Source organism: Homo sapiens, chromosome 12 (assembly GCF_000001405.40).
Source record: "Homo sapiens chromosome 12, GRCh38.p14 Primary Assembly".
In the NCBI taxonomy this organism is placed as follows: domain Eukaryota; kingdom Metazoa; phylum Chordata; class Mammalia; order Primates; family Hominidae; genus Homo; species Homo sapiens.
Window position 1 is genome coordinate 72421663 of NC_000012.12, and position 26848 is coordinate 72448510.

Here is a 26848-nt window from a genome sequence, read left to right on the forward strand (position 1 = left end):
ACATTGCTGTGGGAATTTTTGAAAAAATATCTGCCACACTATACTGATTTTAGTTAGTTTGATTATTATTATTTTGGACAATGAGTTAAAGTGGAAACATCTAGGAAAACCTGCAAGTCACTTCTTGATGCACACTTAGGCTTTTTTAGACTCATCTATGTTGGTAGAAGCGTTCAGTTGTGAGTTTTAAAATCATCACTGCCTCTGGATATTTTTGTAAAAGCTGTAATGGTTATATACTCATATATCCTATTAAATAGAAATGTGTAAACCAGAATGCCAAATATTTTATGGTCCAGAGACAATGGATATATATGTCTACCTTTATTCCTTAATATTGACATAGAATTATTGTTATAAAAAGTCCTGTGTCTTTTTCATAGCTACAATGATTTATTATCTCCCATCCTGAAACAATGGTTTAAAATGTTCTGGGGTTGCTGCTATTCATTTCTCATATTATATTATTAATTTTTTATCTATAGAAATGTAGTGGTTTCTTTTCAGTTGGGGTTTTATGGTTCTTAGAACAGTGACAAGAGGAGAAAATCTTGCCAATTTTGTGCTGCACCTTAAAACAATGACAAGAGTTTGAAAATTGGTTAACTTGCAGTCAGAATCACGCTGAAATGGAAAGGGGTAACGTTTATTACAACTTCCACCATTTAATTTTTGCATTCCCTACACAATCCTTCAAGTCTATATTCATTAGCTGTGAAAGAAAAGATACTGTGTTCTGGTTTATGCAGTGTCAAGTGACTGAGACATTTTGATTAACAATCTATCTTTTCAATTCTAGCGTGTGATTTACTCTTGGAGAGAAATGGATTAAGATAGGAATAGTAATTTTTATGGCTTCATAACTGAGTAATACAAAATGGTTTCATTTCAATATTATATCTTTAAAGAATACAGAATGCTTTCATTTTATTCTTCCTGGAACAAATTTATTTCTGTGAGAGAAAGCAAATATGCGCAAGAAATAGTTGACTGTTTCTGTAACGTCTTCAGCTTCTTGACCTTCTGAGTGAAGATAAATTTACTTAGATTGGTCCTTTGCTATGGTTTGAATGTGTCCCTCAGAATTTATGTCTTGAAAATGTAATCCTGAATGTGACCATGTTTTTGAATAGGGCCTAATCAAAGGTGTTTAGGTCATGAGGGCTCTTTCATTATAAGAAGGGCTTGTGGGAGTGGCTTCTCATCTTTGTGCTCTTGCTCTTTCACTTTCTACTATGTAATGACCCAAGACCTTGATCATGGACTCCCCAGCCTCCAGAACTGTCAACCAATAAATTTATATTCATTATAAGTTACCCAGTCCCAGGTATTTTATTATAGCAGCAGAAAATGTACTGAGATCCTCAGAGTTCTTTTGACTCTGGTCCTATCCTCATTTCCAAACTTCTTTTAGAATCCAAACTTATTTTTATGAATTCTTCCTTATGTTAAAACTATACTTATTTATACTTTCGTGATCACAATGTACATGATCCCTGACTTATGATGGTTCTATTTAAGATTTTTCAACCTTATGATGGTACAGAAGTGGAACACATTTAATAACTAGGCTAAGCTATGGTGTTTGGTAGGTTAGTATATTACATGAATTTTCAACTACAATATTTTCAGCTTATTATATGTTTATTGAGATGCAACTCCATTCTAAGTTCAGGAGCATCTCTATTTACCTTCCTCTTTACATAGGATCAAAGTGTTCCTCCGTTTGAGCTACTTTTCTTCTCTCAAGACCACCAGTCAAAAATTCTGTTCATCTCTTAAGGTGGTGTGGATTTTCTGATTCCCACTCATAACGCAGCAAGAGAAGCCTAGAAATCTGCATTTTTAACAGACAACAAAGTGATTCTGATATGGGTGTTCTCTCCACAACACCTTGAGGAACTTTAATTCATGGATTGTTGTAGGCACAATAGTGTTCTTCTAATGACATCCTCATTCTTATCTTGGGAAACTATGGGTATGTTATATTAAATGGCAAAGGGAGTTTAAGATTGCAAATAGGTAGTTGCTATTTGCAATCAGTTTACTAAGGTTGCGTATCAGTTTAACTTTAAATGGGGAGATCTCCTAGATTGTCTAGGTGTGTTGCGTGTAATCGGAAGAGTCTTTAAAAGTGGAAGAGGAAGCAGAAGAGGAATCAGAGAGGCAATGTGATGATGGAAGCAGAGTTCAGAGTGATGTCATGTGAGAGGCAATAGACCTGTCCTTGCTGACTTTGAAGATGGAGGGGGAGGGCCACTAGCTAAGGACCTCTAGAAGCTGCAAAGAAGACAAGAAACAGATTTGCCCCTTGTACTGGTTTCCTAGAGCTGCTATAATCAAGTACCACAAACTGGATAACCACGTACCACAAAATTTTAAAGAATCTGTTCAAATTATTTGAAAGAAACTGGGTAGCTCAAAACAACAAATGTGTTTTCTCAAGATCTAGAGGTTAACAGCCCAAAACTAAGGTGTCAATAGGGGCATCCATGCTCTGAGACTCTGGGTGGGATCTTCCCTTGCCTCTCCCTGGCTTCTGGTGGTGGCCATTGATACTTGGTGGTCCTTGGCTTGCCGTTGCCACACTCCAGTCTCTGCCTCTGTCATCACATGACATTCTTCCTGTGTGTCTCTGTCTTTCATGCTGTTTTCCTTTTCTTATAAGAATATCAATCATATTGGATTAAGCCCTCACTAATGACCCCATCTTAAATTGCTTCAAGCTACAAAGACCCTATTTCTAAATAAGATCTTATTCACAAGTACCACGGGTTAGGGCTTCAACATAAAAGAATACAAGGCTGCCAGTGCCTTGCTTTTAGCCCAGTGAGACCTGTGTTGGACTTATAATCTCCAGAATTATAAGATAATCAATTTGTATTGTTTTAAGCCACTAAATTTGTGTTAACTTGTTATGCAGCAGTTGTAGAAAACTAACATGTGGACCAACTCAAATGCTGTCTCATCTCTGAAGTTCCTGTCTCTTCTTGCTAAATTCCATCTATTCTCCCAGTATGAACTTGTTTATACTTCTCTAAATAAACTTTCATCACTATTCATTCCCTTGTTGTTTTGTTATGTTTTCTGTCTCTTTAATATTAAAGCTTTTGGGGGAAGAAGCAATTTATTCTTTGTATCTCTTTGAGAAACTAACACCCAATATTCATTTAATAAGTATTTAGTAAAAGAATGCTAAATTCTCATCTAGAACATAATTCCTTTGTCATAGTGTCAAGTAATTCTTTGAGAGTAGCTACTTTGAAACTAAAATAAAACTGAAATCACAGAAAGGAAAAAAAAGTCCTTTAAAAATGTGCTATGAAACCATTTTATAGTCACTTTTACTGTAGTTACTATAAAAACTTTACTCCTATAAGAAAAATGAAAGCAATATTGGTCTTGTGTTTTACATTGAATTTTATTTTAGGTTTAGGATAGCTTTATAAAAAGACCAATTGCATATGCATTTTGTTGTTGTTGTTAGTTTGGCTTACTCTAAAAGTGCTTTGCAAGGGTAGCACAGAAAATGTTGGCATGCCATTGGCCAGCAAAACCCTCAATGATTTTCCTTGGAAAACTATAGCGGATTGGTTTTATTTTTCTGTTTGGTTCCATTTCTATAGCTAATGCAACCTGCATATTCCTGATTAAATATGCCTGCTGAATATAGTTAATATCAGTCTTTATTTTTGTCTGATTGCTAAGTGTTCCACAGTACACTTAGATGTTTTGAAATTCTTACTTATAGAAGAATTTGAAAGAATCTGTTAACCAGATCATCTGTGTGTATGTCTGTTGGCTCTATTTAGCTTAACAGTTTTACTTTAAGTTATCAAATCAATTGAGTTTCCATAATTTGTCTTCAGTTAAGATCCTCACCTTGTGACAGCTGATGGAATGCTCTTGAAATAATTTTTCATCACAGGATTGAAGATAAGTGGAAAAAACAACATTTTTCTCTCATCTCAATTCTAAGTAACCATTTATTTAAGATTTTAAAGTTTCTGCACCATATTTCTGTTTCCAACATATGTTGAAAGAAGCAACTTAAAAAAATACCTTGATACTGCCTCTTATTATTGGTGGAAATTAACTAATTAACTAGTTAATTAATTAATTTACTATTTGGTTTTTACTATGGATCTGTGACAAATAAACCATACTCAGTGTTGTAGTTAACAACAGCAGCAGCAACAACAACAAGAATAAATTTTCACTAAAGAAACTAAGAAGCTCTAGAACTATTGGAGTTGCCAAAACTCATATATATATATAATTACAAAAGGTCAAAAAAAAGCAAGACATCAACTGTTCATGCCAATAAACCCTGGTGACAGAATCAAACAATTGAAATGGTGGCAGGGATGATGCTCACATTATTAAGGACTCATTTGCTATAGTGTGCAGTAAATGGAATTATATACAAGTGACAATAGTATGTATAACCTCTCAATAATTCAAGGTAGATTTGGTTTTAAAGTATGTGGTAACATGTTATTGGAGATATTCTAAATAAACATATGTCTGATTAACTGAAGAAATAATCACACTGGCATACATATTTTCTCTCTGTTGAATGTAATAAGATTGTTATTGTATTTTAATGGGTAAAATATGTTTGTAAGAATATGTCATATATCCTGGGGCTTCCTATTCTACATGTTTATAAATTGCAAACTTTATGTGAAAGAGACTGAGGAAAGTTTAAAACTCCTAAGAAAAACACTTTCAGTGGTTTAATTATATAGTACAACTGAAGATTTAAAAAATAACAACAGTAATAAATACTTCACATTGTGCCAGACTCTTTTATAAATAATCTACATGTATCTACTCCATTAATCCTAACAAAAAGCTTAAGAGGTAGGAACTATTATTTTCCTAATTTTCTAGGTGAGGGACCTGAAGACTAGAAATAGTAGGTTACTTGCCAAAGGCCACTTATGTGGTAGGTGGTAGAGACAGGACAAGTTCAACAGCTATTTACTGAGGGCCTTTATATGTTAGGTAGTGTTATAGGTGCTAGAGATATGGCAACCACAAAAATAGATTTAAAAAAAAAAAACCAGTTCTTATGTAATTTACATTCTTAGGGATTATTTTTCCTGGGAAAAGGGACCAGTTATTAAGAGGTAAAAAACATCCTTTAGTAAGCCACAGAGAAAATGACTGCTAATACTCCATTTGTTGTTTTTGTTTTTTTCTCATATTTTTATCATTGCCAAACTTTTTTCTCCATGAAAAGAAAATTCATCTTCATCTTAATCATTCTTACTTTAGTGGCCAAATGTCACCTATATATAGTCCTGACCCTCGGATGGCCCAGAACACTAAAAGTTGATCTTCAGTTATCTAGGTTCTAAAACAAATTCTGGCAAATTATATTATCTGGGCTCTACAGCAGTGGTGTATTTGAGGCTTTGTGGACCATACAGTCTCTGTGGCAACTATGCTGTTGTAGCCTGAAAGTACCCATAGACAATCTGTAAATGAATGGATGTGGCCAAATTTGGCCCTTCAGGTTATAGTTTGCCAACCCCTGATCTAGACAGTAGTATTACCTGGAGACAGAGGCTTCTTTCTGATTTGCGTATGTGTGCCATAGTGCCTGATCTACAAGGGGCCCTGATTATGGGCACTTTCTTCTCCCCTAGAACTCTCTCCACAGCTCTTTAACATCTCTTTTCCCCAGGACCCAGCCTGTCCTCTTCAGCTTCTGGGTAGGGCTGTAAGTCATTTCATCCTACTGTGTTTCACATTGTGTAGTATGATTTCCTTTTAGCTCATGGAAGATATCACACTAGAGGACTCATTGGTTTTTACTCTTCTTTTAGTCTCAATACCGTCTCCCTCTATTTGTATCCCTGGCTTTTGTTGGGGAAGGGGAAGAAGGGATTAGAGAAAAGTATCACTACATGGGATATTTTACACTCTTTCTCGTATTGACTTAATGATCGTTATTGCAATTCACGTAAGTTATTGAGAATGCAAAACTAGCACCAAAAGGGTGGCTTTAATATATTTAGATAACATAAGGGGAACATACTACCAATAGAGCTCTGTGATGATAGAATAATCTGCCATCTGAGATTGAGAGAGCCCTTTCTCTTTATGTGTTCATGCACAGGCTGGATGGCCATATGTTCAAGATGCTGTGAAGGTAATTCTTTTATTAGATCATAAATTAGATAGACTATTGATTTCTAAATCCCACATCTGTGCCAGATTGGCTGTGTCAGAATGACTTGGACAACGTGAGGAAAACTCACATTCCTAGGTCATACCTCCAGAAGTGTAGTAGGTTTAAGATGAAGTCAAGTGACCTGTTTTATAAAACTCCACATCATTGTTAGGCACTCAGACAACATAGAACAAAGAAAAAATAAATGTTAACAGTAGTCGTAACAGCCAGACATTATTCCTTTTAATATTTTGGTTCATATTATTTCATATATATGTAATTTTGCAAAGATTGAATCTGTTTATTCATTGTGTTATACCCTTATAAAATTTGTCCTAACCATATACTAGGGACATATTTCTATGTCATTTCATAGGAAGAAATGTATCTACATAATGACTCTTGATGACAAGCACAGCATATTGTAAGATTTGGATATATTGAATTATTTCACTAATTCCATAATGTGTCATTTGTAAGCAATGTGATGGTGAATACTAATATGTGTGTGTTTAAGATGTATTTCTATCTCTATATCTATGCCTATATCTGTGGGTGTATATGTATATATTTATGTAATTGCTGAAAGGCTTTTGTCAATTATGGATAAAGTATCAAAAAGGATCAAGCATTCTGTCTTTGAATGACAAAGCCTGGATTAATTTTTTTAATATAACAGCTTTATTGAGCTTTATTTTTAATATAACAGCTTTATTTTTATTTCTTTTTTATTAGAAGGGAGGAATAAATGCTGTGCAGGCCATTAAAATATATGTAAAATTCACATGCTATACAACTAACCCATTTAGATTGTACAATCAAATGATTTTTGGTATATTCACAACATGTGTAGTCATCGCCAGCAGAATTTCAGAGATTTTTTACAACCTAAAAAGGAAACCCCATTTTCTTCACCATACCCTGCCTAAAAATCTAACTACGAATCTACTTTATATCTGTGCAGCTTTGCCTGTTATAGACACTTTATATAAATAAGAGTCATTCAATATGTGGTTTTGGTGGCTGGCTCTTTTCACTTAGCATATGTTTCAAAGTTCATTCATGTGCCACATGAATCAGTATCTAATTAATCCTTATGGCTAAAATTCCATTGTATAGATATACCACGTTTTGTGACACATATACACCATGGAATACTATGCAGCCATAAAAAAGGATGAGCTTGTGTCCTTTGCAGGGACATGGATGAAGCTGGAAACCATCATTCTCAGCAAACTATCACAAGATCAGAAAACCAAACACTGCATGTTCTCACTTGTAAGTGAGAGTTGAACAATGAGAACACATGGACACAGGGAGGGGAACATCATACACCAGGGCCTGTTGGTGGGTCAGGGGAAAGGAGAGGGATAGCATTAGAAGAAATACCTAATGTAGCTGACAGGTTGATGGGTGCAGCAAACCACCATGACATGTGTATACCTATGTAACAAAACGTTACGTTCTGCACACGTAACCCAGAATTTAAAGCATAATAATAATAATAATAATAATAATAATAATAATTTACAGAGAAGGAAATTAAAAAAAGATATACCACATTTTATTTATCCATTCATCAGGTGAGGGACATTTACATGTTTCTACTTTCTGGCTATTATGAATAATGCTGCTATGAATATTCATGTACGTGTTATTCTGTGGATATGTATTTTCATTGTTTTTGGGTCTATGGCTAGGGGTGGAATTACTGGATCATGTGGGAACTCTATATTTAACTTTTGAAGGATCTGCCAGACTATCTTCCAAAGTGTCTGGACCATTCTACATTCCAGCCACCAGTATTGAGGGTTCCAATTTTTATACATCCTTGCAAACACTTGTTATTATCTGTCTTTTCAATTATAGCCTACTTAGTGTAAAGTGGAATCTCATCATAGTTTGATTGGCATCCGATGGCTAATGATGTTGAGCATCTTTTCATGTATATATTGGCCATTCATATATCTTTGGAGAAATATTTATTCAGATCTTTGTCAATTTTTAAATTTTTTTATTATTGAGTTGTAAGAATAATTTGTATATTCTACATAGAAGTCCCTTATCAGATAGATATAAAAGATTTTCTAATATTTTCTTAAATTCTGTGGGTTGTCTTTTCACTTTCTTGATGATATACTTTAAAGCACAAAATTTTTAATTTTGATGAAATATGATTTAGCTATGTTTTGTTGTTGTTTTGTTTTTGGTGTCATATCTAAAAAGGTTTTGCCTAACTCAAGGTCACTGTATTTTTGTTCAAGAATTTTATGGTTTTAGCTCTTATGTTTATGTCTATAATCCATTTTTATTACTAGTTGTTTTGGTGCATGATGTGAATGTAAGAAAATCCAACTTCATTCTTTTGCATATATATATATGCAATATATATATGTATGTGTGTGTATATATATAATACACACATATAAAACTGTTGTGTGTGTGTATATATGTATATATATGTATATATACATGTATACATATATACATGTATATATACATGTATACATATATACATATATACGTATATATACATGTATATATATACACACACGTATATATATGTGCATATATATACATGTATATATATACACACACGTATATATATGTGTATATATATACACACATATATATATACACACACACAACAGTTTTTCTGATACCAGTTTTTGAAAAAACTAATTCCACATTGGATTGTCACTGCATTCTTGTGAAAAAATTAATTTACCATAAATATGAGGATTGTTTTCTGAACTCTGCATTCTGTCCCCCTGATCTATATGTCTGTCCTTATCCTGGTACTACAAGTGATTTATTGATTCCTATTACCTTAAAGTGTTACTACTCCAACTTTATTAGTCTTTTTCATGGTCATTTTGGCAACTTTGGATCCCTCAAATTAACATATGAGTTTTAGGATCAGCTTGTCAGTTTTTGCTAAGAAACAAGTTGGGATTTTGATAGAGAATGCTTTGAATCTCTGTGTCAGGCTGGAGAGTATTGTAATTGTAATATCATGTATTTTGATCCATAAACATAGGATGCTTTTTAAAACTAATTTAGGTATTTAATAGGTTCTTTAATTTTCTCAATATTTTATAGTTTCAGTATACACATTTTGCATTTCTTTTGTCAAATTTATCTCTAAGCATTTTACTCTTTTTGATGTTATTGTAGATGGAATTGTCTTCTCAATTTTATTTTTGGATTGCTCATTTCTGACGTATAGAAATACAGCTTATTTTTTGCATATTGAACTTATAGCTAGTAATCTTGCTGAACTATTTTATTAGTCTTTGTTTTTTAGTGAATTTCTTAGGATTTTTGTTTAGTTTATTTTAATAGTACACTTACAGAAATAGCACTCAAGAAAGACAACATTAAAAACATGAACTTGTGTGTAGGACAACTCAGAAAAGTATAGTCAATGGATGTACTATACTTTTTACTGTATGATAAAAAATGCCACAAACACCATTTAGTTGCTGTTAATAAGAAATTTACTTATTTTAAAAACAAGCCAAATGCTGACATTGTGAAGAAAAATTTAACAGGTTTATCTGTGGTTGTTATGAAGTTGAACTGCTGAAACTTGATCACTGAAATATTTTGACTTACATTAATGCTTTATGTCCCCACATTTACATTAAAAATTCACATGATGAAAATGGAAAAAATGCCACTATCTGATTTCTGTCTGCTATTTTTCCACTCACAATCTTATATTTAGGTACCTTTTGATTCTATGGGGAAAAAATACCTAATGTTCAGATCTGCCAATAACAGGAAGAAGAGGTTTTTTTTTTTTTGAGAATGAAATGTTCCTCATCATAGTGGATTCTTAGGCATATACTTCATGTATGTGGCCTATTATCTGTTTATTGGCATACCTGTTACATGTTTTACATGGATAGCACACAGGTTGATGTCCTCAAAAAGGTCAACCAGATAGGTCTCACTTCCTGCAAAGCTCCAATAGCTGCTCTCAGGAAGCACAGATGTTTTGAAGTTCTGAGCAATTTCTTGGACCAGATGCTGGAAGAGAAATTTGCTAATCAGAAGTTCAGTGGACTTCTGATAACAAATTTCACGGAGTGCCACAGTACCAGGCCTGTAACTATGAGGTTTCTTTCTTCCTCCCATAGAGGGTTCACTTTTGTAGCCAGTTGCTTCCTAGGTTCTTTACCATCGTTGATTTGCAGGTGGTCTGCTTTATATAAGCCATGGTATAGAGACTTCCTTTCTTACCCCCTTTCTCCTTTGCTGGGCCTGATCGGAGGCATTAGAGAGCAACAGCATTACAGAGACTGTGTGGCGGACTGCTGGGTCTGTCCCGCAGACCCTGGCAGACAGATGAAATGAGTACTCATACATGGGTATGCAGTTTAAGAGCAGCTAGGTGACTACCTGGCTCTAGTGGCCAGAGAACAGCCCCAAGAAGCTGGAGCTGCTTGCTTTTATTCAGTGCAGGCACAATGCCGAAAACCTGGAGCCAACACAACCTGTAGCTAATTAACATTTATTGTTCCCCTTTCAGGCAGTGTCACATGTGCAGATGATCAAAGGTCAGTTCCTGGTCAATATAAGTAAACAACCTTGTTTAAGATAAATTCCCCCACAGTCCCTTGTACCTACTCCTTGCCGTCTGCCTCAGGGTTATAGGACAGCTGCCTTCAGCTATTCTCCCCGGGGTCTGCAGAACCTTCCGGCCTTTCAGAAGGTTTGTGTCTTTTCCCTATAGTTTTTCCCACCACTCTGACCCATCCCCCACAGCAGACATCATCAAACATTTGAAGCCTGGGTTTGGGGATCCAGGGAGAAGCGATTGGGAGGAGAAGAAGCAGGTGAACCCCTGGCATACAGGCGTCTTGGGTCACAGTGGGGCATTAGGATTTTCTATGTAAAATGTCATGTCTTTTGCGAATAGGGACAGTTTTTCTTTCTAATACAGATGCCTTTCATTTTTTTGCTTAGTTAATCTAGCTAGAACCTCCAGAATAATGGTGAATAGAAGTGGAGAGAGTGAAAAATCCTTATCTTGTTCTTGATCTTAGGGGAAAGCATTTCGTCTCTTACCATTAGGTATATTGATAGGTGGAGGTTTTTCATAGATTCCCTTTATTAGATTGAAGAAGTTACTACCTGTGTATTTTTTTATTATTATGAAAGGGTGCTAGATATTTTCAAATGCTTTTAATGCTTCTATTGAGACGACCATGTGAGTTTTGCCCTTTATTTATATAGTGTATTACAGTAATAATTTTTGGATTTTAAAGCAATCTTTCCTTACTGGGATAAGTGATATTTAGCCATGGTATATAATCATTTTGATTTGTTTCAGGATTTGGTTTGCTAGCATGTTGATGATGATTTTTTTTGTCTATACTCATGAGATGTTGATCTATACATTTCCTTTCTTCTGAAGTATTGTCTGCTTGTGGTCCCAGAGTAATACAGCCTTCATAGAATGACTTGGGAATTTTCTATTTGTGAAGAACTGATATTAATTCTTTAAACATCTGGTCCAATTAAATTCAGGCCCCTTTGTGGGAGTAATTTAGGGTCCAGTCTTTGAGGTTTGGTTTGACTCTAGTTTATGGGTGGGGTGCTGGACAGGAGCAGTAGCCTTTAGTCTCCTTGGCTTGCCTCCCCGAGCATGGAGCCTTTGCCCTATGAGCAAGCTGAAGAAAAGGCAATTAGGAACTCACTATTTTCAGCCTCTCACATTCAGTAGTGACTGAAAATTTAATCTAGGGATTCAGAATATATCCAGAATGGCAGCATGAGGAGCTCCATAAAACCCCTCCTCTCACACATACAAAAGCTACCTGATGAAAATTATAAAAACAGCAAACATATGAAGTATTTGGAAGTTGGTCAAAGACATATGACAAATAAACTTTTTTTTTTTTTTCTTGAGACATACAGAGTCTGGCTCTGGTAGAGTCTCCCTTACAAGTGGGGAATGGATGTAGAAAGAAGGCTCTTAATCTCTTGTTACACATGCCTGGAATTTAGCCTCTTCAACATGGAGCTGGTGATGAGGAGAATTCCTGGAAGCCTGTCTCTCCAGAGGTGATACTGTAGCCGTTGACTGAGAGCTGGTGGGAAAGAAAGCCATGAGCTCCGTGTACCTGCCTGTTGTGGAGCTAAAATGGGGAGCTGAACTGGGGAGAGGAGTGAGTGAGGACTGAAGTGCCACAGACAATCACCGTTCTACTGTGACTTAGTAAATTTTCTTAAATAAATGTTTCTTGGCCAGGCACAGTGGCTCACGCCTATAGTCTCAGCACTTTGGGAGGCTGAGGTGGGTAGATCACTTAAAGTCAGGAGTTCAAGAGCAGCCTGGCCAACATAGTGAAACCCTGTCTCTACTAAAAATACAAAAATTAGCCGAGCATGGTGGACCACACCTGTGGTCCCAGCTACTTGGGAGGCTGAGGCAGGAGAATCACTTGACCCCGGGAGGCAGAGGTTGCAGTTAGCCAAGATGGCACCACTGCACTCCAGCCTGGGCAACAGAGCCAGACTCTCTATGTCTCAAAAAAAAAAAAAAAAAAAAAGTTTATCATATGTCTTTGACCAACTTCCAAATACTTTATATGTTTGCTGTTTTTATAATTTTCATCAGGTAAGTTTTGTGTGTGTGAGAGGAGTGGTTTTATGGAGCTCCTCATGCTGCCATTCTGGATATATTCTGAATTCCTAGATTAGATTTTCAGTCACTACTGAAATTCCTGTCAAAAATAAAGGTTTCTCAACAATTATTACAATAAGCCAATTTGGAGAAGCATGGACAAAATGACCTTGTACGTTCTTTCTAATAATAAGGTCCCATGCTCTAATGCATGTCTCTTGAAATCCAGGCTATATCTGTCTTCAGGAAAATGAAAGGCTCATGTAAATAAATAATAAATATTCACCTCTGTACACCTAATCTCTGTCCACTCCCAACACTTTCACACTCTGATGGGAACTAATCTCACTACTTGTGCTCCTTCTGTTGTTCCCCCACGTTTCTCCCTTTGTAAGGTACATGCCATTCCAGAGTAGAACAAGGGCATGAAGAGTTGTTCTTTGAACTACAGAACAGGGATGGCAACTTTAAATAGTTTAAATCTACCTTACATGTTTAAATGTGTAGTGGGAATTACAGAACTGAGGACTGAGGCAAATTGGAGGTGTATCACCCTGTAAAGGGAAAATTTCTTCTTCATCAGCAGTTCATTGTTTCCATGTGAATATGTTTGTCATTGTTGTCAGATCTTGTCATTCTTCAAGAGGAGCTAGAAATGGAGATTTATTTGATATGAGAAAGCTCCCAATTTGTAAACTGCTGACTACGAATTAAAAAGAAATTCTGCAGATTAAGCAAAACATGACTGCCATCTATACCTGGTCCCCAGATGAATTAGTATCTAGTTTAATAATCTGTCCTCCCCAAAGGATGGAAATCTGCCATCAAACTGCAGCAGTTTATTTAACTAATCTTGTAGGGACTGATGTCTTTTGATGTCAGTTCATTGGCATTGGTGTTCTTTCAGCTTGAGAGCTCCCTGTGTTGGGGAGTTAGACGATATCTAAACCAGGATGGGAAGCTATTCAGGATTGAATGATTCTCACCTAAATCTCTTCCAATCAGGTTTGTTACATGTTTGATTCGAATATGAAAAAAATCTTCTAATTTTATGATGTTAATAACATTGTCCTATTTTTATTGAAAAAAAATCCATAATACTCTTGATTCAATTTTGTGGATACAGTACTTGAATGAAAATAGATCCCAGGCTGGGATTTTTTTTTTTTTTTTGTCAGAGTTTTTTCTATCCACTGTTGCCTTGTGTTTGTTCTGAATGAAGTGGTTAATAGGCATTTTTTCATAATTCTTTGGGGATGCAATGTAAGAATTTATTATTATTAGCTGTTACAAAAGAAACATATAATTTTGAACTAATGACCTGATAGGTAAAGGAATAAATAGCTGCAATATGAAAACCAGTTCCCAAGGACATAATTATGCTATTACAAGCAAACAGAGAGTTTCTGGCTCATTAAGTAGGAAAGGCAAAAAAAAGTATAAATGATAAAGGTGAAAATTTAATTTTTTAACTTGTTCACATATGTTCCCCCCGACCAATAAAAACAAGAGGGAGGATTTTTACACTAAATGAAAATATAAACGACAAAGCCTTTCTTAAATACAGGGTCATGTATCTGTCCTTAGGTGTTTTATTATGTGGAGTTTGACCTTTATTTAAAGAGCATCTCTGTTCAATGATAATTGATGGTGCTTTAAGTGAGAGTTTATGACAGTACTTCTACTTATTGAAAATATTTTTCTTAAGGTGAACATGCTCTTTTTTGACTTTTTTCCTAGCTTAACCTTTGAAAATATCATGTCAGTTTAGTTGAATTTATAGACTTAATTAACATGTCGTGGTTTTTTCCAGGTCATTAATAAAATATAGAGTATGACCAGACTTATTTCTAATCCTGATAGTATACCAGCTTGTTTAATTTAATTAATCATTTCTTCTTTTTTGTCCTGTTGGTTTTTAGACTGATTTGATTATCATAATACGAACCTATTAAAATTTTTAGATGTTCTTCATATAAAGACATTATGCTAATTATTTAATTGGGATTATTTTGAAGGACTACAAAGTAATGGTGTTTGTTTTTGTTTTGTTTATTCAAGTGTACCCCATCTCCTGAACTTCACAGGGTTCTTATAAGGTCAGGCCCAGTGATAAGACATGGCCTGGGAATAAATACTAATGCTTCCTTTAAGAATATTCCAAGAGAATCAGCCTGACATACTCTTCAGAATTAATGATCTTGAACTTTCAAGATCATTGACGTACTGAAGAACCGAGAGTAATTTTTCTGAATTTTCTTATTGTCTTGCTTTTAGAAGCCCATTCTGTTTGGTGCTTTCCAGGAAACATCTGGACAGGTGAAAAATACAGTATGAACTCCTTTCTTAAGTGTCATAATTGAACAATCTTATGAGCTTCATAGATCCTAGAACATTACAGCAAAATTTTAACACGCAACTACCCATCATCTACATATTAAATTTATATTCATATCTGGGCATCCTCCATTATCTATTTTCAAGTATTTATATTTTCAGTTTATACATGTCCTATTCAAGCTAAATACATATATCTATATCCCCTTATATTTGAGGGAGGCAGGAATACAAGCCAGACTGAGCACAATTTTTGCTTACACTACTTACTAGCTATAGCACGATCTTGGACAAGTTTGGACAAGTTTATTAATTTCTCTGTTTCCCTATGTATAAAATAGCAATGATAATAAAAGTATCTTCTTATTAATTTGGGTTTTGAGGATTAAATAAGTTAATAGGAGTAAAGCACTTCAAATATTGCCTTACAGAGAATGAATGCTCTGTGGAAGTAATTATTATCTTGCCTCTTTGTAACCTTTCCTTTTCCCTAAGTGAATTCAAAGTTCATCCCTCTCTGATCTTCTGTCACCCATTTCTCCGTTGTATTTCTGCTAATCCAACTTTTGTCCATGCGATATTTTAGGCTTTTAAAAGAGGTCTGATACCCTCATTCTGTTGTCTTCAGGAATGAAGTAATTTTTGTCAAACAATACTGAATGGGAAAATTAATTCATTGGAAGTCAGACTCAGGCAACTTTTGAACTACTATTGTCATTTTCAGCTTATTATGTGGTTTGATCACTTTTATGGAATCATAATATGGTAGAAATCTTCAAAGTATACAAGTGCAAAATAGTTTCTATTCAATAGTTTTTGACATTTTGACTCACTTTTTAAAAATTGACATGCAATTGCATGTATTTATCATAAACAACATAATATTTTGAAATATATATAGTGGAGTAACTAAATCTAACTAATGAACATATACATTACCTAATGTAGTTATTTTTATGGTGCGAACACTTTATATTCATTTTCTTAGCATTTTTCAAGAATACAATATATTATTAACTATGGTCACCATTTATACAATAGAACTCTTAAAATTGTTTCTTCTATCCAAATGAAATTTTGTATGTTTGAGCCAATTTATTTCCAACCCACCCCAATCACCCCAGCCCTTGGTAAACACCATTCTATTTTCTACTTCTATAAGATCAGCTTTTTTAGATTTCATATGTGAGTGAGATCATGTGGTAATTTTCTTTCTGTGACTGACTGGGTTATTTCACTTAACATAATGTCCTTCAGGTTCATCCATGTTGTCACAAATGACAGGCTTTTCTTCTTTTATACGGCCGAATAGTATTTCATTGTGTATATATACCATGTTTTCTTTATCTATTCATCTGTTGATGGACACTTAATTTGATTCCATATCTTGGCTATTGTGAGTATTCTGCAGTGAACATGGAAGAGTGATATATCTTTGACCTATTGATGTCATTTTCTTTGTATATTTACCCCATAGTGGGATTCCTGGGTCATGTGGTAGTTCTATTTTTAATTTTTTGAGGAACCTCCATACTGTTTTCTGTAATGGCTGTACTAATTTACATTCCTATCAATAATGTGCAAGGATTCCCTTTTCTCTACGTGCTCACCAACACTTATCTTTCAACTTTTTTGATGATAGCCATTCTAAGAGGTATGAGATGGTATCTCATTGAGATTTTAATTTTCCTGATGATTAGTGATGAGCATTTTTTCATATACTTTTTGGCTATTTTTATGTCATGTTTTGAGAAATGTCTATCATGGTGTTTTGCTTTCATCAGATTTTTTTGTGATCATATTTTCTTCCATCAGATTATTTGTTGAGTTAAGTTCTTTATATATTTTGGATATTAACCCTTTATCAGGTGTAGAGTTTGCAAATATTTTTGCAAAATTTTTGAAAATATTTTTTGTTCACTCTGTTATTACCTTTGCCATGCAGAAGTTTTTTGGTTTGATATAATTTCATTTGTCTATTTTAACTTTTGTTGCCTCTGTTTTTATGGTCACATCTAAAAAGGCATTGCCTAGACCAAGGTGTTGGAGCATTTCCCCTTTTAGTAGTTTCGTAGTTTTGAACCTTATGTGTAAGTCTTTAATCCATTTGAGTTCCTTATGTGTAAGTCTTTAATCCATTTGAGTTGATTCTTGTGTATGGTGTGAGATGAGTCCAATTTTATTTTTTCACATGTGAATATCCAGTTTTTCAAGCATCGTTTATTGAAGAGATTGTCCTTTGCCCATTGTATGTTCTTGGTGCCTTTGTTGAATGTCAGTTGGCTCTGGATGCATGCATTTATTTCTGGGCTCTCTCTTCTGCTTAATTGGTCTATGGTTCTGTTTTTTCCCCTTAGTACCATACTGTTTTGGTTACTATAGCTTTATAGTATATTTTGAAGTCAGGTAGTGTGGTGCCTCCAGCTTTGATCTTTTTGCTCAAGTTTGCTTTGGCTATTCAGGGTCTTTTTGGTTCTATAGAAAATTTTGAGATTTTTTTCTATTTTTGTGAAGAATATCATTGGTTATTTTGATAGCAATTGCATTGAATCTATAAATTGCTTTGAGTAATATGAATATTTTAACAATATTAACTCTTCCAATCCATGAACATGGGATTTTTTTCCATTTATTTGTGTCTTCTTCAGTTTCTTTCATTCATAGTTTTCAGTGTGAAGATCTTTCACTTCCTTGGTTAAATCCATTTCTAGGTACTTAATTTTTTTGTAGCTATTGAAATGTGATTATTTTTCTGATTTCCTATTTTTTTGTTTATGTATATCTTGAAACTTTACTGAATTTTTTAGTTTTAACAGTGCTTCAGTGGAGTCTTTAGGGCTTTCTATATATATGATCATATCATCTGCAAACATGAATAATTTGACTTCTTCCTTTCCTATTTAGATGCATTTTCTTTCTTTCTCTTGCTTAATTGCTCTGGGTGGGACCTTCAATACTGTGTTGAATAGAAGTGGTAAGAGGGAGCATCATTTTCTTGCTCCAGATCTTAGAGAAAAAGCTTTCAACTTTCCTGACATAATAGCATACCACTGAGTATTGTGTTAGTTGTGGGTTTGTCATATATAGTCTTTGTTTTGTTGAGTGACATTCCTTCTATACCTAACTTGTTGAGAGTTTTTATCAAGAAAGGATATTGGATTTTCTCATATGCTCTTTCTGCATCTATTTAGGTGATTATATGGTTTTTGTTCTTCATTCTGTTAATGTAATTTATCACACTTATTGATTTATGTATGTTGAATCATACTTGCATCACTGGGATGAATCCCACTCGATAATGGGCAGTGATCTTTTTAGTGTGCTGTTGTATTCGATTTGCTAGTATTTTGTTGAGGATGTTTACATTTATGTTCATCAGGAATATTGGCCTACAGTTTTCTTTTTTTGCAGTGTCTTTGTCTGGCTTTGGTATCAGTGCTATGCTCTTGTATTCTAATTTTTTGAAATACTTTGAGAAGAATTAGTATTAGTTTTTCTTTAAACATTTTACATAATTTAGAAGTGAAATCATTAGGTCATAGGCTTTTCTTTGATGTGAAACTTTTTATTACTTATTCAATCTCAATTTTATTAAATTTTCACATACATATTTTTAAGAATAAATTGGCATCTGAGATTTTTTTTTGCAAACTGTTTTTCGTTTTGTAGAGGGCTCAAAATATATTTATCTTTTACATTTCATGTTAATAATGCTAGATAAAATATATAAGCATATAAATGCTAGCACATATATTGACTTATTTAATCTTCATAACAGTCCTATGATATATATCCATATCAGCATACTTTGACAAAAACAGTAACTGAGGTACAAAGAGATTAAACAGTGACAGTAAGTGGTAGACTCAGGATTCAATAGGTAGCCTGGCTCTAGCATCTGAGGTACAAACCCCCCTGCTGTATTCTTAGTGGGAGGTGTGGTATGCTTGGAACATCAGAGTAGATCGCACCCAACACAGGGTCTGTCACAGGTAGATGTTTGGTAACTATTAATGATAGCAACCAGGACTTCAATTTCTGGGATTCAGATGACATCACATATTTACTTCAACTGCAAAAGATAGAGATATGCACATTCAAAATGGATATTTATCAAGAAGTTAGTAACAAATGACTCAATAAACAATACACACTTGGCAATTTTTTGGAGTGAAGGATATTCATGTGTTATGACTTTCTGAAATGAAGATAATCAGGATAAATTAAGGGGAATCAAAATACTGTTATACTCAGTTCCATGCTATCTCTTTAGATTTCAGTACTATACAAGATGATAAGGGCTTAATGAAAAAAAAAATCAATGGATAAATTTTAACTACTTGCAGTTTTCAGTGGCTATGTTGTAACAGGCTCTTTCTGTTTTATTTTTGCTGGTGTTTTGCTTTGACTATAAATGATGATTTGCCTTCCTCTCATATAATGTTTTGCCTTTTTATCATGGAAGTTATGTAGTCATTTGCATGGAAAAAATAGTTTGTTATTTGGGTACAGCAGTAATAAAATTGACTAATAATAACTTTTCAGTTTTCCCTTTACTCTTTTTGCTCTTCCTACCTCCATGATGACTGTCTTGCTCTTTCTCTGAAAGCCTTCAGTGAGTAGTAAGACAGTTCATCATTGCAGTACACAAGGTGATTGACATCAAGCTGGACAGGCGGGAAAGGGAAAAGGACAGGAGGTGTGGGGAAAACCTGATGAGAAATACAGCTTCCTTTTAATCCTTCTGGAGAATCTCTGAAAATGTTTTTAAGTGGTTTACTGTTACAGGCAGAATCATAAAATATAAGTAATATCAGTTTTGAGTTTAATGAAGAGAGCTGTTATAGGTGTATTCTCATTTCCAGAGAACTCGAAGCTATTCCATTCCAGTTGACGTTGTTGGCCAAATACATCACATGCATATTGAATTTTGATGATTTCAAAATCCAAAGATAAACAAGATAATAAAGCAAATGCTAGTAAGAAATAGAAATGAACAATAATATTTCAGCGATAGTGCTTGAAATATAAAATAAATGAATAAGTTGATTTGGATAGGAATCCTCCGATTTTCTGCCACCCATTTTTCCTTGAGTAAACTTGGGAACACCAGACAGAATTTTTTAGAACATTCCTTGTGAACACTAAGCAAAAGGCTGAGTGGGGGTGTTAACTGAAGCTACAAGTCTCTTTATATTCTCTGTAATGCTTGAGCTATATTTAGAGTAACATTTCACCTTGTAAAGAGAGGATAGTCTGTAAATGATGCCGGGATTATTTGGGATTTACGTTGGCATCCTGCTTCATCCCGCTCCTCTACATGAGACTTATTTAGGTGGTTGATAACTATTATTCACATTGACTTTTAAATGTGATTAAGGCTTTTCACTCAGTTTAAAGGAAATAATTCTATTTTTAAGCCATCTTGGTAGAGAGCCTCATCGATGTGTGATAAAATACAAAGGAGATTTTTGCTCCACAAAGAGAGGGCAGAGATACTTGGGCAAGTCTCACTTATCTACATGGCTTTGCAATCTATGGAAGATTTACTCTGTCACTTCTTTACCACTTAGTCACTCCTGAGCCTACAGCAGTCTGGCTCTCATCCCCAGCAGTCCTTTGAAACTACCTGGCAAAGGCAGATTGGCCAAATCCAATAAACACTTTTTCCTTACTTATCTATCTGCATTTCCTTGCTGCATTTGGCGTTATTGATCCTTCTTTCATTCTTGGAACTTTATTTCCTCTGATAGCACTACCTCCTGTTTTTCCCTCTACCACTTTGATTAATGCTTACTGGACCTCCCTTCATGGATTATGAGTTATATTTTTGCAGTAGATCCAAACAGCATTCGGCTTCCCTGCTCCTATTTTGCACCCTGAACAGTCTGGCTCTTCCCATGTATTTCATGTCTCAATTGTTTGTGCTCCCATGTAAGGAGTTGGCCTAAAAGTCATAAACAATAAGGAGAGGATTTTTAGGTTCCTTCACCTTGCTGCCTTCATATCAGTCATCCAATTTCACATCTTAACTATTTCTTAATTCTATCCACTCTTCCATAGTCCTGTTAACACTGAACAGCATAAGGACTCACTTGTCACTTATTTCCTTGCCTTCAGTTATTTCTACCTGAAATCCACCTTTCAAACTTGAAAAAGGTAAATCTGACCATGCTATTCTCTTGCACTCTTCATTGGTTTCCCCTTGCTCCTAGAATAAAATACAGGTTCTTAGCATGACATGTAAAGTCCTCCACGATTTGGTCATTGACTACCACTTTAGCTTCATTTTCCCGAATCCTATGCTACCAACATTGTACTACAATAGTATTCCATAGCTTATTTTCCACACATACTTCGCTACTTCTTTCCTGTGTGTGTGTGTGTGTGTGTGTGTGTGTGTGTGTGTGTTTTCCACTACTTTATGTGCTTGAGATGCCTTGTATCCTCATTCTTTTTGTTCATAACTTCTTTATCTTTAAGGGAGTCTACTCAATCACCATTACTCTAGAAAGCCTTTTTTGTGTTCCATGATTGAATTAGATGCTCTCTTTTTGTATTTTCCTAGTATCCCAGGTATTATATTGCACTTACTATGTACTTAAACTATGTTTCATGACCTTGTTGAGACCTAAGAAGCAAGGACTTAGATTGAGTATTAGTCACCTTTTTTTCCCTAGGATTGAGCATAATAGCTGGGTATAAACATAACAATGGTAATGAAGTAAACTGGTTAAAAATAAGGAAAACTTTTAGTGTATTGTGAGAAAAAATGGAGAACACATTGAGTGGAACATTTTGCATTAAGCTGTATCTATTTTTCTCTATATATTTTATATTATAATGTATTGTGACAATATGGTCAGGAAGATAGGCATTTTGTTTGGCTGCTGCTATGGATCCTTTCTATATTTCTGGGTTTAATACTAACAAGTAGGTAAAGGAGCTATTCACTGCAGAGGGGAGAGGCTGCTATAGAAAGAGCGTGGATTCCAAGAGAAAAGTAGTGCTAGTGTGACTTACTATTATCAGGATTTACATGTGATTTACATATCAATTTACTCAAATATTCCATAGAAATGAGATAATTTTTCAATTAAAGGGGCCATAAAGATTGTGTAATTCATCATCCCATCTGACTGGTAATTTTGCCAAAGACAGAGCCTGGAAGATATTGAATAGTAAACTAAATGCTAATTTATTTCCTTCCTCTTTTTGCATATAAAGAAGAATTGTGACATCAGTTTAAAATAAAGAAACCAAAATGCCTTGGCCTTGGGCCACATTGTTTCTTTATAGGCAAAGCTAAAAAAACAAGGTGCTCCTGATTTTTAGTGCACCCATCTTTTAGATGATGTTCTGATTTCAATATTTTTAAAAAACCCCAAAGATGAAGTTTTCTTTTTTATAAATGTAGACTCTAGGAGATAGTCACACTTGTAACCCCCAATCTTGGCAGCTTCTACTACAAATTCCCTTATTCTAATTGCACTGTAAAAGTCTGTCTTTCATTTGCTAATCTGTGTCCTTTAGGGTGCTGGGTGCAGCTCAAAGTTCTGCTTAATTTTTTTAAAGGAAATGGTTTTATCTGATATTTCTTTGTTACTTTACTGTTACTGGCATACCCAACATTTTTTTTTGAAAAATCAGTTGATAGCAGAGTAAAGTAAGAGATGATAGTTACCCTTAAATATTGAACCAAGAAGTACATCCTGCTAAACTTTAGTTTATTATTCTAATGGCAAAACTTGAAGACTTTATAAGGACATAGTTGAGTAAAATACCTACTGTCCTAATTGTGGGCCTAATTGAAGGGATTTGGAGAGAAGTGAGAGATAGTATTTAATAATTTAATAAGATTAAATCTAAACCATATTATGAACACCATTTATCACAGGCTAAGAAATGTCTGTTAGTGAAGCTGGAGAGCGAGCCACTTGATCTTATGGAGTTAAGGATCACATAGTGAAAGGAGTGTATTTTAAAGGAGGCGTGGTGAGGAGAGGCTGGATATTCTCCCTGGTCTTCTTCTGTGCCATTCCCATGGCCTTTATGAAACTTTGCTTGTTTATTAGTACTGTAGCAGAGTAGTAAGCAGTTTTCATGACTTTACTATTCTCTTTCCTCCCATTCAGATGTGTATTTTGACTTTCATGATTCTCTCAGCCTGCTTAGTTGCTCTCTGTGTTTTTCTATGTGACCTTTCCAACAAGTACCTTCTTCTTCTCCAGATAGCTTCTAAGACGTCTTAACAAGTGATTATTTGAAGGTTTTAAGAAAAATACTCAATGACCAAGAATTCACTGAAATATCAGACATTGAGCATGTTGTGTGCCTCAGTTGGGATTTTTTTTTTCAAATTGCTTCTTAAAGGAAGTGATATGATTTAATGCTATTAAATATAGATGAAGATGAACTGTGGAATTGAGGTTGTTTTATCACATATTTTTTAATAAGTGAAAATAAATTCTACATGTCATGTATAATACTACTATTTTTCTTCCACTCTGAAGAAAATATTGCCCTGTTCATAGGTGTATTTATCCCATACTCAAATGCCTCAGCCCTTCTCATTTTGAGATTGATTGCTTGTGCTTCTCAGGTTTTTCAGAGACACTCCCAACCTGTTTCAGCAACCTCTCTTGCTTCCTACCTCATAGCTGGATATTCTTTCATCCATAACTTGTATTTCAAAGCTGCCCTAACATTTATTTTTGTTGCTTTGCTGAATTCATGTTAGGTAGAAGTGTGCCCTATGGAAAATAATTAACTGTTACCAAATATATCGTTCATCTTAAGCTTTTAAAGGAAGAGTTTTGAGAGGATTTCCACTGATTTATTTCCAACTAACTCAATTTATGATTGACTCTTTCTAGATCAGACATTACAAATGGACAAACTACAGGCCAAGTATGGCACATGGATAGATTTTATTTGGTCTTGAAGATGTTATTAAGCCTTTGAATTAATTGCCAATATTTTACAGTTGGGAGATTTCACATAAAAATCCAGATTACTAGCTTGCTTGCTTTCTTTTTTCCCCCCGGCTTTCTTGAAATATTAGAATTATCTGGCAACACTGGGCCTGCATTCCCATGTGGGCACTGGTTGGTTAGGGATGAAGGTTTTAGAATATGAGCTCTCCATTTATTTACAGGTCTCTACTCTATTTCATCCCCATTTGTATTTCTCCTTGTCCCAGTAGACTTTTTAATTGGTCCGTGCGCTAGACCAGTGCTTCTCAAATTTTAATTTACATGTGAATCACCTGGGGACCTGTCAAAATCCAAATATCGATTCAGTGATGGGTGGGGCCCGATTGTGCATTTCTTTTTTTTTTTTTTTTTATACTTTAAGTTCTAGGGTACATGTGCACAACATGCAGGTTTGTTACATATGTATACATGTGCCATGTTGGTGTGCTGCACCCATTAACTTGTCATTTACATTGGGTATATCTCCTAATGCTATCCCTCCCCCTTCCCTCTGAGAGATTTTGTCACCACCAGGCCTGCCTTAGGAGAGCTCCTGAAGGAAGCACTAAACACGGAAAGGAAGAACCAGTACCAGCCACTGCAAAAACATGCCAAATTCTAAAGACCATTGATGCTAGGAAGAAACTGCATCAACTAGTGAGCAAAATAACCAGCCAACATCATAATGACAGGATCAAATTCACACATAACAATATTAACCTTACATGTAAATGGGCTAAATACTCCAATTAAAAGACACAGACTGGCAAATTGGATGAAGAGTCAAGACCCATCAGTGTGCTGTATTCAGGAGACCCATCTCATGTGCAGAGACACACATAGGCTCAAAATAAAGAGATGGAGGAAGATCTACCAAGCAAATGGAAAACAACAACAAAAACAGCAGGGGTTGCAATCCTAGTCTCTGATAAAACACAGTTTAAACCAACGAAGATCAAAAGAGACAAAGAAGGCCATTACATAATGGTAAAGGGATCAATTCAACAAGAAGAGCTAACTATCCTAAATATATATATGCACCCAATGCAGGAGCACCCAGATTCATAAAGCAAGTCCTTAGAGACCTACAAAGAGACTTAGACTCCCACACAATAATAATGGAAGACTTTAACACCCGACTGTCAACATTAGACAGATCAACGAGACAGAAAGTTAACAAGGATATCCAGGAATTGAACTCAGCTCTGCACCAAGCGGACCTAATAGACATCTACAGAACTCTCCACCCCAAATCAACAGAATATACATTCTTCTCAGCACTGCATCGCACTTATTCCGAAATTGACCACATAGTTGGAAGTAAAGCCCTCCTCAGCAAATGTAAAAGAACAGAAATTATAACAAACTGTCTCTCAGACCACAGTGCAATCAAACTAGAACTCAGGATTAAGAAACTCACTCAAAACTGCTCAACTACATGGAAACTGAACAACCTGCTCCTGAATGGCTACTGGGTACATAACGAAATGAAGGCAGAAATAAAGATGTTCTTGGAAACCAATGAGAACAAAGACACAACATACCAGAATCTCTGGGACACATTTACAGCAGTGTGTAGAGGGAAATTTATAGCACTAAATGCCCACAAGAGAAAGCAGGAAAGATCTAAAATTGACACCGATTGTGCATTTCTAACAGTCTCCTAGTGATGTCAATGTTGCCATTCCAGGGCAGTATTTTGAGTAGTAAGGTTCTAGACCAGTGGTTCTTCATGTATGATTCTTAACCAAAAGCATTAGCAACTACGGAATCAAGCAATCTGTTTTATGAAACCCTGATGGTGACTCTGATACACACTCATATTTGAGAACCACCATCCTAGTCTATCTCGGGTATGAATACTATTTTTAAAATCACCTTCTAAGTCTGATGTTTTAAACCCTGGCTGAATGTTAGACATTATTTGGAGAATTTTCAAAAAAAGATTGATGCTTGAGCTGCACTCCTAGAGCCTCAGAGAGAATTGATCTGGAGTGGGGCCCAGGCATCAGTATTTCTAAAAGGTTCTCAATTTATTCTAAGGTACAGCACAGCTGAGAACCATGCTCAGTAAAGAGACTTTCTTGGCACATTACCTGAATGTTCAATAGCTCTCTTGTCAGAAAAAATTTATAACTGTAACACTTCTAATTTAAGTCCATTTGTTTTTTGCTATATCCTCTGTAAAGAAAAAAGTAGCTGATTTCCCATCATGTTCTTAATGATTACTAGGTCCTTTGATCAAAAATGGTGTTTCATAAGTCATCTCTTTACAAGTGTATTTGTTGTTTTGAAAGCCTGTTTCACTATCTCCTTGCAGAATGCATTCTATTTTTGTGCTTTATGGATTAGGAAACATTTCTTGCTAATTCTGTTGACACAACCTAATGGATTAAGTTGTGCACTGCACAACTCTAGAAGGCTGCCATTCACATTTGTTGCCATCATAGATTTGTGCATTTATTAAGACTGTTTTCTGGTTGATGGTATTACAGTGCCTTGCGTAAGAGGTGGCTTTTTCTAAATTGTGTAATGGCTTCATTTGGGCTAGCAATAAGGCTCTATTTAGTTTAACAAACAAAACCACTATAAATTCATGATAAAACAAATTTACTTCAACTGAAAAACATACTATGTAACAATTGTTTGATAAATAAGCATTGGTTTTATTTAGTATCAGTGTTAAGCAGTTAATAAACTTTAATTAGCTAATCT

At 35.0% G+C, this 26848-nt stretch overlaps 1 protein-coding gene and 1 pseudogene across 5 annotated transcripts in view, besides 1 other annotated feature; one reads left to right on the top strand and one right to left on the bottom strand.

Annotated features, from left to right (window-relative positions):
- TRHDE (thyrotropin releasing hormone degrading enzyme) overlaps positions 1-26848 on the top strand; it is a 583493-nt gene that overhangs the window by 334397 nt on the left and 222248 nt on the right. Inside the window, exon 1 of one of the 5 annotated variants that reach the window (XM_011538248.3) lies at positions 10818-10904. The exons of the other annotated variants lie outside the window; for them this stretch is intronic. The gene's annotated coding sequence lies outside the window, so the exon portion shown is untranslated. Of the gene's footprint in view, positions 1-10817; positions 10905-26848 lie in introns of those variants that run through there. 5 annotated transcript variants of the gene reach the window in all.
- Positions 9862-10481, bottom strand: H3P35 (H3 histone pseudogene 35; annotated as a pseudogene).
- Positions 22352-22853: an enhancer, noted in NCBI's record as "NANOG hESC enhancer chr12:72837794-72838295 (GRCh37/hg19 assembly coordinates)". NCBI's record gives its function as "activates a minimal SCP1, AML or CMV promoter by ChIP-STARR-seq in primed H9 embryonic stem cells {active_cell/tissue: H9 hESC(primed)}" and the evidence as "EXISTENCE:reporter gene assay evidence [ECO:0000049][PMID:30033119]".